This window comes from Homo sapiens, chromosome 4 (genome assembly GCF_000001405.40).
Source record: "Homo sapiens chromosome 4, GRCh38.p14 Primary Assembly".
NCBI classification, from domain to species: domain Eukaryota; kingdom Metazoa; phylum Chordata; class Mammalia; order Primates; family Hominidae; genus Homo; species Homo sapiens.
The window spans coordinates 102,704,074-102,722,307 of record NC_000004.12 but is presented as its reverse complement, the minus strand read 5'-3'; the positions used below and the strand labels follow the sequence as shown (position 1 = coordinate 102,722,307).

Genomic DNA, 18,234 nt, shown 5'->3' with positions numbered 1-18,234 from the left:
TTACTTCATATTTTAAAAATTTTAATTGTATAAACTGTACATAAAATTTATCACTTTAATAATTTTTAAGTGTACAGTTTAGTAGTGTTAAGTATATTTACATTAAGTAACCACAGAGCTTTCTCACCTTGCAAAACTGAAACTCTACCCATTACCCATTATATTATATTATACCCATTATTGTTTAAACAATAGCTCTCCATTTCCTTCTCCCCAGCCCCTTGCAACCAGCATTCTACTCTTTTCTTTTCTTTCTCTTTTTTTTTTTTTTTTTTTTTGAGACTGGGTCACACTCTGTCGCCCAGGCTGGAGTACAGTGGTGCGATCACAACTCACCGCAGCCTCCACCTTCTGGGCTCAAGCGATGCTCCCACCTAGGTCTCTTGAGTAGCTAGGACTACAGGCGAACACCACCATGCCCAGATAATTTTTGTATTTTTTTTGTAGAGACAGGATTTTGCCATGTTGCCCAGGCTGGTCTCTAACTCTAAGGCTCAAGCAATCTGCCCACTTTGGCCTCCCAAAGTGCCGGGATTACAGGTGTGAGCCACCATGCTTGGCCCATTCTACTCTTTTCTATGTGTTTGATTCCCCTAGAAATGTTATATAAGTGGAATCATACAGTATTTGTCTTTTTGTGACTGACTTATTTCACTTAGCATAATTTCCTCATGATTCATCCATGTTGTAGCATGTGAGAGAATTTCTTTACATTTTAAGGCTGAATAACATACCATTCTATGCATATACCACATTTTGTTTATCCATTCATCTGTTGACGGACGTTTAGGTTGCTTCCACCTTTTGACTATTGTGAATAATGCTGCTATGAACATGGGTGTACAAATATCTTTACATGACCCTTCTTTCAGTTCTTTTGGATATATTCCCAGAAATAGTATGGTTGGATCATATGGTAATTCTATTTTTAATTTTTTGATGGATTGAATTTATTTATTTATTTATTTATTTATTTATGTATTTGAGATGGAGTCTTGCTCTGTTGCTCAAGCTAGAGTGCAGTAGCGAGATCTCGGCTCACTGCAACCTCCGCCTCCCGTGTTAAAACAATTCTCTTGCCTCAGCCCCCTGAGTAGCTGGGATTCCACGCATGCACTGCCACACTTGGCTAATTTTTTAATTTTTAGTAGAGACGGAGTTTCGCCATGTTGGCCAGGCTGCTCTTGAACTCCTGACCTCAGGTGATCCACCCGCCTCGGCCTCCCAAAGTGTTGGGATTACAGGCGTGAGCCATGAAATTTAGTTTTAACAACAAATGTAATGATTGGGCTCATTGTGAAGATACTAAACATATTTTCCCAATACTCTTTAGGTAGAACTGTTACATTAGCTAATATGTTCTGATTAAATTAAATGGCTCTTTTTCAGCTGGATTGATTTACTATTAAATTATGTTTCCTTAATATAAGTACTAGGATTAAAATTATACCTCCTCCTGTTTGATTCAACCTACCTAAACTTGTGTCAATGACCCATTGACCATTTGTTCAAATTACTGTAATAACAGCCTTAGAGTATTGCTTTGACAATTTTCAGTAGTCAAGTATTCCATGGAATATTTGTCTGCTTATAAGTCTGGATAAGATTTATCTTTTGATTCTTTTGCCTTTGGCTTCCAATGACACAGTGGTTTAAATGCTAGAGGTTGTACTTTTTCCCTCTCCCCTTCCTTTTTTTTTTTTGAGATGAAGTCTGACTCTGTTGCCCAGGCTGGAGTGCAGTGGCATGACCTCGGCTCACTGCAACCTCTGCCTCCCGGGTTCAAGTGATTCTCCTGCCTCAGCCTCCCGAGTAGCTGGGATTACAGGCGCCTGCCACCATGCCCGGCTAATTTTTGTATTTTTTTTTTTTTGAGACTGAGTCTTGCTCTGTTGCCCAGGCTGGAGTGCAGTGGCACAATCTCAGCTCACTGCAAGCTCCGCCTCCTGGGTTCACGCCATTCTTTTGCCTCAGCCTCCCAAGTAGCTAGGACTACAGGCGCCTGCCACCATGCCCGGCTAATTTTTGTAGTTTTAGTAGAGATGGGGTTTCACCATGTTGGCCAGGCTGCTCATGAACTCCTGACCTCAGGTGATCCACCCACCTTGGCCTCCCAAAGTGCTGGGATTACAGGCGTGAGCTACTGTGCTGGCTTCCCCTTCCATTTTTAACCTTTATCAAAACTGAAACTATCCTGGATCCTAATGTGAAAAGTTACTTTTCAAGTCATCAATAAAGATAATATAAATGTTATACATATATCCATATGCTATTTTGCTCCACCCTCTATTCAATTTGTGGCATTTAAAACATACTCTCAAGTTATCTAGATAGAACATAGCCCTTTGTCACTAACATCAGGAATCAGATCCAGTTTTCTGCTATCACAATGTTTTGGACACTAACCTCTGGGTAGGCTTCCAGAACAATTGCAAGTTGCATCTAGGTATTTCTGACTAGATTGACATGGTCCAGTGGGAAGACACCTGAGTTGGAGACCAAGTGAAGAGTCTTGGGTCTGAATTCTGGCTTTGTGAACATAGAATAACTTGAGGTATGCCCGTCATTTGTACATGGAGCTAATCCCTGATATGAAGATATAGTGAAATAACAATGTAAATGCACTTTGCATGTTGTAAAGTGCTATACAACCATTCAAAAAGTAGAGTGGTGATATCTATTTTGGAGGCTTATTACTATAATTACAGGTAATGAACAAGATGCTCAGCTTAGGTTATATGAAGTTAGTGGGGTCTTTACTTTAATCTCTTAATCCTGTTATCTTCATAAACTGAGACTGTACATCACCTCAGGACCACTATTGTACAAATTGATTGTAGAACATGTGTGTTTGAACAATATGAAATCTGATTGTAAAATGTGTGTTTGAACAATATGATCAGTGCACCCTGAAAAAGAACAGAATAACGGCGATTTTCAGGGAAGAAGGGAAGATAACCATAACATCTGACTGCCTGTGGGGTCAGGCAGAATAGAGCCATATTTATCTTCTTGCAGAAAGCCTATAAACGGATGTGCAAGTAGGAGAAATATCGCTGAATTCTTTTCCCAGCAAGGAGTAACCCTGGGGAAGGAATGCATTCCTGGGGGTAGGTCTGTAGACGGCCACCCTGGGAGTGTCTGTCTTATGCGGTTGAGATAAGGACTGAAATACACCCTGGTCTCCTGCAGTACCCTCAGGCTTACTAGGATTGGGAAATTCCAGCCTGGTAAATTCTAGTCAGACTGATTCTCTGCTCTCGAACCCTGTTTCCTGTTAAGATGCTTATCAAGACAATGTTTGCACAGCGGGACATAGACTGTCATCAGTAATTCTAATTTTGCCTTGCCTTGTGATCTTTATTGCCCTTTGAAGCATGTGATCTTTGTGACTTACTCCCTGTTTGTACACCCCCTCCCCTGTTAAAATCCCTAATAAAAACTTGCTGGTTTTGTGGCTTGGGGTCGTCATCACGGTCCTACCAATATGTGATGTCATCCCCAGAGGCCCAGCTGTAAAATTTCTCTCTTTGTACTCTTTCTGTTTATTTCTCAGACTGGCTGACACTTAGGGAAAATAGAAAAGAACCTATGTTGAAATATTGGGGGCTGGTTCCCCTGATATTCTCTTTCACCAGTTCTTTGAACCTCCACTTTCCCTGTAGCAACCTAAGTCCCCTATTGTCTCTGCTTCCTTTTCTGTCCAGAATGGATAGTGGGACTCATCACTTCTGCTACCCTCTTACCAGTGTTTGATGCCATCTTCCTTGTTTTCCGTTTACATCTCTGGCCGTTCCTTGTAAGTCTCTTTATCCACATCCTTGTTCTCCTAAAAGTTATATTATAGGGCCTTTCTCTGTTCTAGACTCTTTTCTCATTTTATACCCTCTCTAGGCTATCTCATTTTTCATTTCTTCCATAACAAATCTATTTGCCATTGTCTCCCAATATTGTGTCTTCCGTCCAACTTGTCTTCAATTCCAGACCTTACATTCAGATGCTTATTTAGCATCATCACTTGTCTGATTCACAGGGACCTAAAGCTCAGTATGCGCCACACCGCACTTGTGATTTAAGTCCTTCTCCCAGGGTTCTGTCTCTTGCTGAATGGAATACTATCCACAACAGGTGCTCAAGCCAGAAACTTGAGTTTTTCTTGACACCTTTCTCTCCTTTTTCTCTCTTCCAATCTATTGCTTAGTCCTCTTGATGATGTGAATAGTACCTCTTCAATAGCTCTTCAGTCTGTTCACATTTCATTTCTGCCACTGTGTCTTGAGTTCAGTCATGCCTTGCATGAAATATTGCCCTGGTTGCCTAACTGGCATCCCTGAAACTTCACTTGCCTTCCTCTAGTTAATCATTTACAGAGCAGCTAGAATGGTCTTTTCAGAAAAAAATGATCACAGCACTGCTTTTCTTCAAACTCTTCAACAGCTTCTCATTGCCTTTAGGCCAGTGTCCATGGGTCTTAGCTCTGTCTGGCCCATGCTCACTTCTCCAGTCATCTCCCTGCCTCTTCCCATTGTTCTCTCTTCAGCTTCTGGAATGCATCAGACTGTCCTGCACCTCCAGACCTTTGCACATGCTGTTCCTTCTGAAAGGAATGCTTCTGGGCCGGCACAGTGACTCATGACTGTAATCCCAGCACTTTGGCAGGCCAAGGCAGGTGGATCACTTGAGTTCAGGAGCTTAAGATCAGCTTGGACAACATGACAAAACCCCAAGTCTAAAAAAAAATACAAAAATTAGCCTGTAGTCCCTGCCACTCAGGAGGCTGAGGTGGGAGGAGCCTGGAGGTTGAGGCTGCAGTGAGCCAAGATTGTGTCACTATACTCCAGCCTGGGTGACAGAGTGAGACATCTCAAAAAAAAAAAAAAAAAGTTCCTGCCTGCTCACAGTGGATAAACGGTACTCACCCTTCAGGGTCTTTTTTTTTTTTTTCAGGAAAACTCATCTTGATACCCATCCTCCTCAACCTCTCACTGTATGTTCCCTGCCTATTTCCATTGTAAAACTCATTATACTTGTAATTATTTATTCAATGCTTGAATTTCGTGCTTGACTGTGAGCATTATAAGCAGAAGAGCTGTGTCTGTTGTGTATATTGAAGTACTCCCAGCCTGAAACATAGAAGGCACTTAATAAATACTTCTTGAAGAGGTTAAGAGTGATTTGTAGCTCTTAATGGGGAAAATAGTCTCCCTCATAAGATGTTGATTATTTTGCTCTCCTTCTTTTCCCTATCTCCAATGAAAAAATTACAAATAGATACTAAAATTCTCCCATAAATGTCCCCAAGATGGTTTTCATTCTGAATATGAGAATCTGGTGCTTAAGTGGTAAATTTAGACAGATGTGGATGCTATAAAGTAACTTTAGTTCTTTGTTTTTCTCCATAGTAAAAACAAATTTGTCTCTATCTTAGGTGAGTACAGAGCTAAGGAAATAATACCCAAATGACAACAGTTTGGCCAAATCTTCAGGTTCTATTTCACAAATGACTCCATCTAGAAGGATTTTAGTATTTCCTCTGGTGCTTGTTACTTTTTTTCCCCCCATAAAATGTATGACCCAAACTTATTCCTTTTTAAAAGCTGAACTTATAGCTTTACACATTTTAATTAACTGTTCTGAAAATATTTTTTTCTTTTAAGAAGTAGAAATTAGAAAACATTCTGTGTGAAAGGGATTTATTTTACAGAATTATTTCTTATTTTTGAATTTGAACTCTGTAACTTAATATGGAAGTTGAGTGTCATCAAGGGAGAGACAGGTACCCAGGTCAAATAAGATTGGATAAAATGTCTGCCTTGGCCACCTGTTTCAGGGGCTAAAGATCGAACTGATTGCTTTTGGGCTTCACGTTCAGAAACAAGGACTTCTGAATTCATACCTGAGGTTGGCAAGTTTAGCCAGAGCTTTTTAAAACCTATTTATAAGTGTTTGTCTTTCAATATGTTTCCTCATTCTTTTTTTTTTTTTTTTTTTTTTTTTTGAGACTGAGTTTCACTCTTGTTGCCCAGGCTGGAGTGCAGTGGTGCGATCTCAACTCACTATAACCTCCGCCTCCCGGGTTCAAGCGATTCTCCTGCCTGAGCCTCTTGAGTAGCTGGGATTACAGGCATATACCACCACACCCAACTAATTTTGTATTTTTAGTAGAGACGGGGTTTCTCCATGTTGGTCAGGCTGGCCTTGAACTCCCAACCTCAGATGATCCACCCGCCTCGGCCTCCCAAAGTGTTGATATTACATGCGTGAGCCACTGCGCCCGGCCTCCTCATTCTTTTTAATTATTACATGTAAGCACAATATTCTTTGTAACTATTAGATTTAAATACAATGGTTAGGTTCAGAGATATTATAGAGAAATTTAAAGAGGAACTATTGAGTTGCTTCAATGTAGTAAGCATTTGAAGAATAAATGTACAACTCTTCATAGATTTTATGTTCTTAGAACATTTCTGCCAAATTTATCTGTTTCATAGGTTACGTGCAACATAGATATATTGGATATATTGGATATTGTATCAGTTATCTATTGTGATGTAACAAATTATGCCAAAACTTATCAGCTTAAAACAACATTTATTGATGAGAACACATGGACACATAGAGGGGAACAACACACCCTGGGGCCTGCCAGAAGGTGGAGGGTGGGAGGAGAGAGAAGATCAGGAAAAATAACTAATGGGTACTAGGCTTAATAGCTGGATGATGAAATAATCTCTATGACAAACCCCCATGACACAAGTTTACCTATATAACAAACCTGCACTTGTACCCCTGAACTTAAAAGTTAAAAAAAGAAAATATGTGGACTATAGGTTTTCTGATTTCTAAAAAATAATATAAACAAAACATTTATTATGATAGCTTCTGTTAGTTAGGAATCTGAGTTGAGTGTGGCTCAGCTGGGTGCCTCTGGCTTAAGGTCTCATGGCTGCAGTTGTCTCAAGGCTTGGCTCAAGTTGACTCAAGGCTGAAGAGTCTGTTTCTGAGCTCACTTGTAGTTATTGGCAGACCTCAGATTGCCCATATGGGTCTCTCCGCAGAGCTGCCCCATGACACAGAGGCTGGCTTCCCTCTTGGCCAAGAGAGGGCATGAGAGAGTACCCAAAATTCAAGGCTTAGTCTCTTATAACCTAATTAATAAAATCACATCATTTTTGCTATATGCTGGTGGTTAGAAGTGATTCACTAGGTCACTTCAAAGGGGGGATCATTGTGGGCCACCTCAGAGGCTGTGTATGGTGGTTGGGGGGCACACACAGTTTTGCACTAACTTGTGGTCCCCCCAAATTCATATGTTGAAGTCCTAACCTCTGGTATCTCAGAATGTAATCATATTTGGAGAAGGTCTTTAAGGGGTGATTAAGATAAAATGAGGCAGTTAGTGTGGGCCCTATTCCAATACAACTAGTGTCCTTTTAAGAAGGGGACATTTGGACAATGGAGAGAGACACCAGGGATGCCTAGCACAGAAAAAGACCATGTGAGGACACAGTGCAAACAGAGGAGATCGGCTTCAGGAGGAACCAAACCTGCTGATAGCTTGATCTTGGACTTCACTGTGAGAAAATACATTTCCATTGTTTAAACCACTTAGTTTGTGATACTTTGTTATGGCTGCCATAGCAAACTTATATACACATATGTAACATTTTTAAAGAAAATGTTTTTCATAATGTTTAAATTTCACCATAATCAGAATATATCTTCTTTTTCTCCTTGAAATTGCAGGAGCAATGTTCCTTTAGTTGGGACTGGGGGCCTTCCTTTCCTACCCAGGGAATCTGGAAAGATGTTAGAATTGAAGCCTATAATATTTGTCACCTGAACTACTTCACATTTTCCCCAATATATGGTAAGCTGAAAGATGTGATTTTTTTTTCTTTTTGAGTCTTCTTGTTATAAAAATTGGGTTTATAATTGAAATACAGAGGTATGTTTTTCAGAGATTTAGAATTTTTAAAAACTTTGTGGTACAATCAATTTATAAAAGTAAAAAATAGGTACAAACTGATTTTACATGAAAATTGACAATATAAAGCAGATATGTAGGTAGGTATCTTTTAGCATATTTTACAGAAAAAGGAAAAAATAAAATGGAAGAGCAGCGCCAAGTTTTCCTGAGATAAGTATTCTTTCTTGAAAGAACTGGGCCTGCTGGCTGTGCTCCTTTTTGCTGCCTCTGTAGTCACTTTTAGTGTCAAATTCTTGCTTTGCTCACACCGTTAGACTGGCTTTCTGTCTCTGTACATTTTCTTCATAACCCAGAGCACTACTCTGAGGGCCCTGACACAAGGGCCCTGACACAACAGCCTTGTGAAGAGTTAAAAATAAACTGGAAGGTAAACAGGGCAAAAGAAAGATTTCTTTTCTTTTCTTTTTTTTTTTTTTTTTTTGAGATGGAGTTTCACTCTTGTTGCCCAGCCTGGAGTGCAGTGGCACAATCTTGGCTCACTGCAGCCTCTGCCTCCCGGGTTCAAGCGATTCTCCTGCCTCAGCCTCCTGAGTAGCTGTGATTACAGGCATGTGCCACCACGCCCAGCTAATTTTGTATTTTTAGTAGAGATGGGGTTTCTCCATATTGGCCAGTCTCGAACTCCTGACCTCAGGTGATCTGCCCGCCTCAGCCTCCCAAAGTGCTGGGATTACAGGCGTAAGCCACTGCGCCTGGCCAAAAGAAATATTTCTAAGGTGAAAAATAGTACTTTTTAAGTTGAAGCAACTATTCAATATCAAGGAGCATTGAAATAGAACCTCAGAAATCTCACAGATGTCAGTGGATAAGTTAAAAGCTGGTTAAATATTTGTTGCTTTCTTTGCTCAGCGCTGTGTTTATTTGATAAAAGAAATAGAGTAGGTACACTGATCCCTTCATGTGTGGGGAGGGGAGATACAAACAATTACCAAACAAAACAAATAACCTTCCAAGATAAGAGCCAGAAAATCAAAGATCAGTGAGGATTTGAGAAGTTAGGGAAATGAAGGATGAAGATGGAGGCAAGTGAGATCTTAAATGAGAGCGTGCAATGCTCAGTGTAATCACACGGAGGCCTAACTAGATGAAATCAGTAAGAAAGAATGTGGTGTGTCAGTTCAAGAGTTCTGTTATCTTGAGAGCCCTGGTGACCTTAGCTTGCTATTCAATTGAGCCAAATCTGTATTTTCTGAAGGCAGAAGATGAAAGCAAATGATAGATGCTTAGATTTGAGGAGGTTATTTGGTGCTGTTGGTATTTTTAAACTTTAAAAAGGCATTAAAAGATCTAATTTAAATTGCACATGTAAATGTGGCTGTGCTTATAATTCTCTAGTTTAGTGCTTCCCAAACTATTCTTCTGAGGTGTAATCCAACTAAAGATTTTCGCTACTAAAATCAAATAATGGTTTAATCTCCCTTCATCCCATGCTACCACCCATACGTTTTCTCAGGTATAAATAACAGAATCTGGTGTGAGAAGTGGTCTGAGCTGAGCGCAGTGGCTCATGCCTGTAATTCCAGCACTTTGGGAGGCCAAAGTGGGTGGATTCCCTGAGCCTAAGAGTTAGAGACCGACCTAGACAACATGGCAAAATCCTATCTCTGACAAAAAATACAAAAAATACAAAAATTAGCCAGGCCTGGTGGCGTTCACCTGCAGTCCCAGCTACTCGAGAGGCTGAGGTGGCAGGATCGCTTGAGCTCAGGAGGTAGAGCTGCTGTGAGTTGTGATTGTACCACTGCACTCCAGCCTGGGTGATGGAGCGAGATGCTGTTTAAAAAAAAAAAAAAGTGGTCCGATTTAGCAAAAAGTTATTTATTTATTTTGAAGCTTAATCAGTATTTTGGGTGGTCTGCAAAATGCATTATAAGCTCTGGGTACCCTGATGCCTGAAAAAAATTTGAATAATACTGCTCTGGTTTAATTTACAATTTGAATATGAAACTAAACATTTCTTCCTGAGTTATTAGAGTTCACTTTATTAGTCACTAGTGACTGAGTGAATTTTATATGAATTAATTTAAATGATGCTTAAAATTCAATTTAGATTCAGTGTAAACAGTTCCTCCTCTCAACTACATTGGTGAAGGTTAAATACATTTTTTAAATTGACACGTAATATTTGTACATATTTATGGGGTATGTGTGGTATTTTGTTACATGCATAGAATGTGTAATGATCAAGTCAAGGTAATTCGGGTATCTATCACCTCTAGTATTTATCATTTCTCTATGTTGGGAATATTTCAAGTCCTCTCTTCTAGCTATTTTGAAATATACCATACATGTTGTTAAGTATAGTCACACTATTATGCTGTCAAACATTAGAACTTATTCCTTCTATTTAAATGCATGCTTGTACCCATTCATCAGCCTTTCTTCATTCCTCTCTGCCACTCATATACCCCTCCTAGCCTCTCGTCTCTATTATTTCACTCTCTACCTCCATGAGATCAACATTTTTACCTCTGACATGTGAGTGGCAAGATGCAAAATTTGTCTTTCTCTGTCTAATTTCACTTAACATAATGACCTCCAGTTCCATCCATGTTGCTGTGGAAGACATGATTTTATTCTTTTTTAGCCATTCATCTGTTGATGGACACTTAGGTTGATTCTATATCTTTGCTATTGTGAATAGTGCTGCAGTAAACATGGGGTGCAAGTATCTTTTTGTTATACTGATTTCTTTTTCTGTGGATAGTTACCTATTAGTGGGATTCTTGGATTGTATGGTAATGACTCTACTATTAGTTTCTTGAGAAATATAGTATTTCCATTGTGGCTGTACTCACTCATATTCCCACAACCGTGTATAAATGTTTCCTCTTCTCTGCATCCTCTCCAGCATCTATTATTTTTTGTCTTTTCAGTAATAGTCATTCTAACTGGAGTAAGATAGTATTTGTGGTTTTGATTTACAGTTCCCTGATGATTAGTGATGTTGACCATTTGTGCATATACCTGTTGGCCATTTGTATGTCTTCTTTAGAGAAATGTCTATTCATGTCCTTTGCCCACTTTTAAATGGGGTTATTTGCTTTTTTACTGTTCAGTTGAGTTCCTTGTGTATTCCAGATATTAGTACCTTGTCAAATGAATAGTCTGCAAATATTTTCTCCCATTCAACAAGTTGTCTCTACATTCTGTTGAATGCTTCCTTTGCTGTGAAGAAGCTTTTTAGTTTAATATAGTACTATTTGTCTATGTTTATGTTTGTTATCTTTGCTTTTGAGGTCTTAGCTATAAAAATCTTTGTCTAGATCGATGTCTTGAAATGCTTCTCGTATGTTTTCTTCTAGTAGTTTTATCGTTTCAGGTCTTATGTTTAAGTCTTTAATCCATCTTGAGTTTATTTTTATTTATGGTGAGAGATAAGAGTCCAGTTTCATTTTTCTGCTTATGGATATCCAATTTTCCCCGCACCATTTATTGAAGAGGATTGAAGAGGGTATTCTTTCTCCAATGCATGTTCTCTGACCAAGATGCCTTTGTGAAAAATCAGTTAGTTATTAATAAGTTGGTTTATTTCTGGGGTTTACACTCTGTTCCTTTGGTTTATGTGTCTGTTTTCAGGTAGTGTGATGCCTTCTTTTGACTCAGGATTGCTTTGGTTGTTTGAGCTCTTTTTTGGTTCCATATGAACTGTAGGATTTTTTTTCTATTTCTGTACAAAGTGACTTTGGTATTTTGATAGTGATTGCATTGACTCTGTAGATTGCTTTGGGTAGTATGGTGGTCATTTTAATGATATTAATTCTTCCAACCCATGAGCATGGGATGTTTTTCGATTTGTTTGTGTGACCTCTTCAATTTATTTCATCAGACGTTTATAGTTTTCCTTGTAGAGGTCTTTCACCTTTTTGGTTACATTTATTCCTAGGTATTTTATTTTTTGTAGCTATTGTAAATGGGATTGCCTTCTTGATTTCTTTCTCAGCTAGTTCATCATTGATGTGTAGAAACACTACTAATTTTTGTATGTTGACTTTGTGTCCTACAAATTTGCTGAATTTATTTATCAGATCTAAGAATTTTTTTATGAATCTTCCAAGTTTTTGCAGATGTAAGAGCATGTCATCTGCAAAGAGGAATAATTTTACTTCCTCTTTTCCAATTTGGTACCTTTTATGTTTTTCTCTTGCTTTATTGCCCTGGATAGGACTTCCAGCATTTTATTGGATAGGAGTGGTGAACGTGGGCATCTTTTTCCCATTCTAGTTCTTAGAGGAAAGACTTTCAGCTCCTCCTCATTTGGTGTGATGTTAGCTCTGGGTTTTTATATATGGCTTTTATTATGTTGAGGTATGCTCCTTCTATGACTAATTTGTTGATAGTTTTTATCATGAAGGGATATTGAATTTTATTAAATGCTTTTTCTGCATCTGTTGAGATGATCATCTGTTTTCTGTCTTTCATTCTGTTGATGTGATGTATCACGTTTATTGATTTGTACAAATGTAAGATCCTTGCATCCCTGGGATAAATTCTGCTTGCTCATGGTATATTATCTTTTTGATATACTGTTGGAGTTGGTTTGCTAGGATTTTGTTGAGGATCTTTGGATCCATGCTAATCAGGGATAATGAGCTATAGTTTTCTTTTCTTTCCTTTTATTTATTTCTTGTTGCCTCTCTGTGTGGTTTTGATATGAGCGTGATGCTGACCTCTGGAATGAGTTAGAGAGAATTATCTCCTCTTCAATTTTTGGAATAGTTTGTGTGGAATTGGTATTAGTTCTTCGTTGTAACTTTGGTAAAATTTGGCAGTGAAGGCATCCAGTCCTGGATTTTTTTCTGTTGGAAGATTTTATTGCTGATTCAGTCTTGCTACTTATTATTAGTCGTTCAGGTTCACTATTTCCTTCCTTCCTTCCTTTCTCTCTCTCTCTTTCTCTTTCTTTCTTTCTTTTTTTTCTTTCTTTCTTTCTTCCTTCCTTCCTTTCTTTTTCTTTTCTTTTCTTCCTTCCTTCCTTCCTTCCTTTCTTTTTCTTTTCTTTTCTTCCTTCCTTCCTTCCTTCCTTCCTTCCTTTCTTTCTTTTCTTTCTCTCTCTCTCTTTCTTTCTTTCTTCCTTTCTTTTTTCCTTTCCTTTCCTTTTCTGCCTTGCCTTGCCTTTTCCTTTTTCCTCCCTCTCTCCCTCCTTTCCTTTCTTTTCCTTTCCTTCCTGACGGGGCCTTGCTATGTTGCCCAGGCTGGTTTCCAACTCCTGTTCTCAAGCAATCCTCCTGCCTTGGCCTCCCAAAGTGTTGGAATTACATGAGCCACTGCGCCTGGCCTCTATTTTTTTGTCAGTCAGTATTGGCAGGTTGTATGTGTCCAGGAATTTACCTATTTTCTCTATGTTTTTCAGTTTGTTAGCGTATAGTCGTTCATAATAGTCTCTGGTGATCTGTTGTGTTTCTGTAGTATCAGTTGTAATGTATCCTTTCTCATTTCTCATATATATATTTTGTATATAATAATATACAAAATATTAGTATATTTTGTAAACGTGTATTAGGTTCATTTGGTCTAAAGTACAACTTTCTGATTTTGTTTATTTGGGTCTTCTCCTTGATTAGTCTACATAGGGGTTTATCAATCTTGTTTTCAAAAAACAAACTTTTCATTTCATTGATCCTTTGCTGTTTTTTTTGTCTCTATTTCATTGAGTTCTGCTCTGATCATTATTATCACTTTTCTTCTTCTAATTTTGGATTGAGTTTGTTCTTGTTTTTCTAGTTCCTTGAGGAGCATTGTTAGGTTGTTTATTTGAAATCTTTCTACTTTTTGGATGTAAGTATCTGTTGCTATAAACTTCCCTCTTAGCACTGCTTTTGCTGTATTCCATAGGTTTTAATATGTTGTGCTTCAATTTTTATCTGTTTCAAGACTTTTTTTATTACCTCCTTAATTTCTTTCTTGACCCAATTGTCATTTCAGAGCATGTTGTTTAATTTCCATGTGCTTGTGCAGGTTTCAAAGTTCCTCTTGTTATTGATTTCTAGTTTTATTCCGTTGTGGTCTGAAAAGATACTTGATATGATTTTAATTTTTAAAAACTTGTTGAGTCATTTTTTTGCCTAACATATTATCTATTCTTGAGAATATGCTATGTGCTAATGAGAAGAATGTGCATTTTGTAGCTATAATATATTTTTTAAATGTGTATTAGTTTCATTTGGTCTAAAGTACAGCTTAAATACAGTGTTTCTTTGTTAATTTTTTGTCTAGATGATCTGTGTAATGCTGAGAGTAAGATGTTGAAATCCCCCACTATTATTGTATTGGAATCTATCTGTCTTTAGATTTGGTAATATTTGCTTCATGAATCTGGGTTCTCCAAGTTGGGTGCAGATATATGTAGAATTATTATATTCTCTTGTGGATTTGATCATTTTATCATGATATAGTGACCTTTTTTGTCTGTTTTTACTGTTTTTTGACTTAAACTTTGTTTTATTTGATGTTGATATAGCTATGCCTGCTCATTTTTATTTCCATTTGCATGGAATATATTTTTCCATTCCTTTACTTTCAGTCCATGTATGTCTTTAGGGGTGAGTTGAGCTACTTGTAGGCAGCATATAGTTTGGTCATGTTTTTAAAAAATCCTGTCAGTCAATTTATATCTTTTAAGTGGAAAGTTTAATTCATTTACCCTCAAGGTTATTATTGATATATGAGGGCTTATTCCTGTCATTTTATTAATTGACTTCTGGTTGTTTTGTATACCTTTTTTTGTTTCTATTATTGTTTATCACTGTGGTTTGGTGTTTTTCTGTAGTGTTAACATTTGGGTCCTTTATGATCCTCATTTGTGTTTACTCAACCAGTGGTTTTATGCTTTTATGTATCTTCATGATGGTAGATATTGTCCTTTTGCTTCCATATGTAGAACTCCCTTAACCATTTCTTGTAGGTCTGGTCTAGTGGTGATGAATTCCCTCAGCTTTTGCTTGTCTTAGAAAGATGATTTGTCCTTTATTTATGAAGGATAAATTTGCTGGGTATGGCATCCTTGGCTGGGAGCTGTTCTCTTTCAACACTTTGAATATATCATTCCATTTTTTCCTGGCCTGTGACGTTTTTGCTGAAAAATCTGATCTGCTGTTAGTGTGATGAGGGTTTCCTTATAAGTAACTAGGTGCTTTTCTCTTGCTGATTTTAGAATTCTCTCTTTGTCTTTGACTTTTGACAGTTTGACTGTAATGTGCCATGGAGAAGGCCTTATTGAATGGATCTGTTTGGGAATCTCTGAGATTTTTTTATCTAGATATTAAATCTCTTGCCAGACTTGGGAAGTTTTCAGCTATTATTTTGTTAAATAGGTTTTCTCTCTTTGTAATTTTCTGTTTGCTTTCTGGCACACTGAAAATTAGAATATTTAGTCACTTTATGGTATTCCATATGTCATGTAGTCTTTTGTCAATCTTTTTTATTCTTTTAAAAAAGTTTTGTTTGACTGGTTTACTTCCAAAAATCTGTCCTCAAGTTCTGAAATTCTTTCTTCTGCTTTCTCTAATTATTGTTGAATAACTAGATTCTTCAGTTCCAGAATTTATGTTTGGTTCTTTTTTATTATATCTGTCTGTTTTGTAAATTTCTTATTGATACTTTGAATTGTTTTTCTGATTTCTTTTTTTTTCTGAGTTATCTTGCATCTCAATGAATGTCTTTAATTTCCTTATTTTGAATTCTTTATATGGGATTTCATACATTTTATTGGAATCTGTTGTTGGATAATTATTGTGTTCCTTTGAAAGTGTCATATTTCCTTGCTTTTGCATGTTTCTTGTGTCCTCATGTTTATATCCACGCATCTGGTATAACAACCACTTCTTCTAATTTTTTTGAATTCTCTTTTATAGGGGAGGAATTTTTCCTGAAGATGTATCTGTGGTATTGTTTGGGTAGGGCACTTTTGCTTTGATTTTGAGTGCTTGCAATAGTATAGTTTCTGTTTGATTTCTTCAGCTGTAAACAGCATCAGTGGTGTTTGTGATTTCCTCAGTGGCTTAGGGTATAGTTGTTAGTGGAGGCTGTAGTGAAGTTTTGCTGGGGATGGGGTCATCAAGAAGGCCAGTCCTTGGACTTCACTGGTGGCAGCAGCAGGCTGAGTGTGCCTGTCCTTGGGCTTCAGTGCAGTATATGCTGGCACTGGTGTTAGTGAGTCCAAGCATGATGAATCTTGGGCCTCCAGGTGACTGGCCTGCTTGGGTGCTGGCAGTGGCAGTGGTAGACCACTGGTCTGGATGGCTGGGTCTTCAGGCCCCTGGACAGCAGGTATGGCATGGGAAATGGCAGTAGCAGTGGCAGGACAATCCTCTGGTTTCCAAGAAGTCTGCATTGGTGTTGACAGTGGCTGCAACAGGCTGGGCACACTAGTCCCCAGGCCCGTAGGTGGCACATGCAGGCAGATGTTAGCTGTGGTAGTAGCTGCAGGTTTAGTGGGCCTGTCCTCAGGCTCCTGGGAGGAGTGCTGAGGTACCAACAGTGGTGGATGGGGCAGGGTCATCCCCAGGCTTCCAGACCATTTGCTCAGGCACTGAGTGGGAGTGTAGAGCCAGGGCAGGCCTGTCCTCAGACCCCTCTAGTGGTGCATGTGGGAGCTGGCTGTGGTAGGCAGGCATAGGATGATATCCAGACCACTGGTGGAATGCTTGGGTGGGGGCAGTAGTGACTGTGCTGCTGCCCTGCTCCTGGGGAGGATGGGGTTGCTTTCAGTGGCAGTAGCTATAGGTGACTGGAGAGCATGCACTTTCGCTCCAGGTAGTGGAGATAAGCAGGGTAGCCCTTCCACAGGGTGTTTTGAAATGTGCAGCAGCCCTGCTCCTGAGGGGGTGGAGTTGCTTCAGCATTGGTGGCAGCAGCCAGCAGCAGTGCCTGGCTACACTTGGGGATGTCAGTAAGTCTCCAGGAATGTGGAGATGTAGGGGCTATTAAGCCCAAAGTCAGCCTGCAGTCCATTCGGGGCTAGACTCTCAAAATGGTGCCTTGCTTTAACCGCTTAGGAGCTCCCTCTCTGGAGCAATGCCATTGCATATCTTGTAGCTCCCTATACTAGTCCTGGGGGCTGCGAGGGTGGAGGTGCTCTCTCATGGCTAGGATTGCAGGAGTCCATAATGGGAATGTAGACCACTGGAGGCCACTCACTTACCTTCTCCCAGCATTGGGGAGCCTCTCCAGGCTTTCAGCTGGTCCCTGCTAAGCAGGGTTCCTTCCTTTTCTCTCCTTCCTTACCTTAGGTGTTTTCTGTCACTTCTCTGTTGAATTTCAGTGTTTTTTGATAGGTGATCTATCTGAAGGGGTTCTTCTTTGTGGAGGTGGCAAATACCAGATGCCGCTAGTCAGCCATCTTGAAGCTCCTCCCTCATTTTTGAAATATTATGACAGTAATATATTTTGTACTTAACATAGAGAAATATATGTTTCCTGTTAAGAAGATGTGCTTTGTGCATGTTAAGCAGTAATTCCTATATTTCTAATTAATTTTATAGTTATCAATTTGGTTGTTTGATGTAATAAAATTAGAGTGTAAGCTCATGAGAGCATTAAAAGAGTTCTACCTTTAGGAGTTTCTCCAGAATTTTTTTTTTCAATTTTTATCTGGAAGACAGCAGTTATCACTGATATCAATAGACGTTTAAACATTGAAAAATAATAAAAGAATAAGCTAATGTGGTCTGGATACTTTTATGTATTTATTTGGTATATACTATGAGGCAGGCACTGTGAGAGTTACTGAAAATTTTTAAAAAAGCTTAGTTCATAATAAAAAAAGGTACATATAATTTTTATTTAAAATAAAATGTATTCATTTTTAAAATTTAAGTGTGAAATGAGGTGGGTCAAAACTAATGCAAGGCTGGGCGTGGTGGCTCATGCTTGTAATCTTTAGCGCTTTGGGAGACCAAGTTCAAAGGATCACTTGAGGCCAGAAGTTTGAACCAGCCTGAGCAGACATTGTCTCTACAAAAAATAAAAAAAATTAGCCATGTGTGGTGGTATATGCCTGTAGTCCCAAGTATTCGGAGGCTGAGGTGGGATTATAACCGCCCAATAAATTCACCTTGCCTGCTGCCTAGACAGAGCTGATTTATCAAGACAGGGGAATTGCAACGGAGAAAGAGTAATTCAGGCAGAGCTGGCTGTGTGAGAAACCAGAGTTTTATTATTACTCAAATCAGTCTCCCCAGACGTTCAGCATTTGGGATCAAATTTTTTGGTTTTTTTTTTTCGAGATAGAGTTTTGCTCTGTT

The 18,234-nt window shown here is 38.7% G+C and overlaps 1 protein-coding gene across 4 annotated transcripts in view, besides 1 other annotated feature; it reads left to right on the top strand.

Moving 5' to 3' along the window:
* MANBA (mannosidase beta) overlaps window positions 1-18,234 on the top strand; it is a 130,199-nt gene that overhangs the window by 38,661 nt on the left and 73,304 nt on the right. For 3 of the 4 annotated variants that reach the window (NM_005908.4, XM_047415692.1, XM_047415693.1), the window contains one exon: window positions 7,747-7,870. The exons of the other annotated variant lie outside the window; for it this stretch is intronic. In NM_005908.4, the coding sequence (NP_005899.3) occupies window positions 7,747-7,870 (124 nt within the window). The remainder of the gene's footprint in view (window positions 1-7,746; window positions 7,871-18,234) is intronic. 4 annotated transcript variants of the gene reach the window in all.
* Window positions 4,262-4,556: a silencer, noted in NCBI's record as "tiled region #2283; HepG2 Repressive DNase matched - State 5:Enh, and K562 Repressive non-DNase unmatched - State 23:Low". NCBI's record gives its function as "represses a minimal TATA promoter and a strong SV40 promoter by Sharpr-MPRA in HepG2 and K562 cells {active_cell/tissue: HepG2 | K562}" and the evidence as "EXISTENCE:reporter gene assay evidence [ECO:0000049][PMID:27701403]".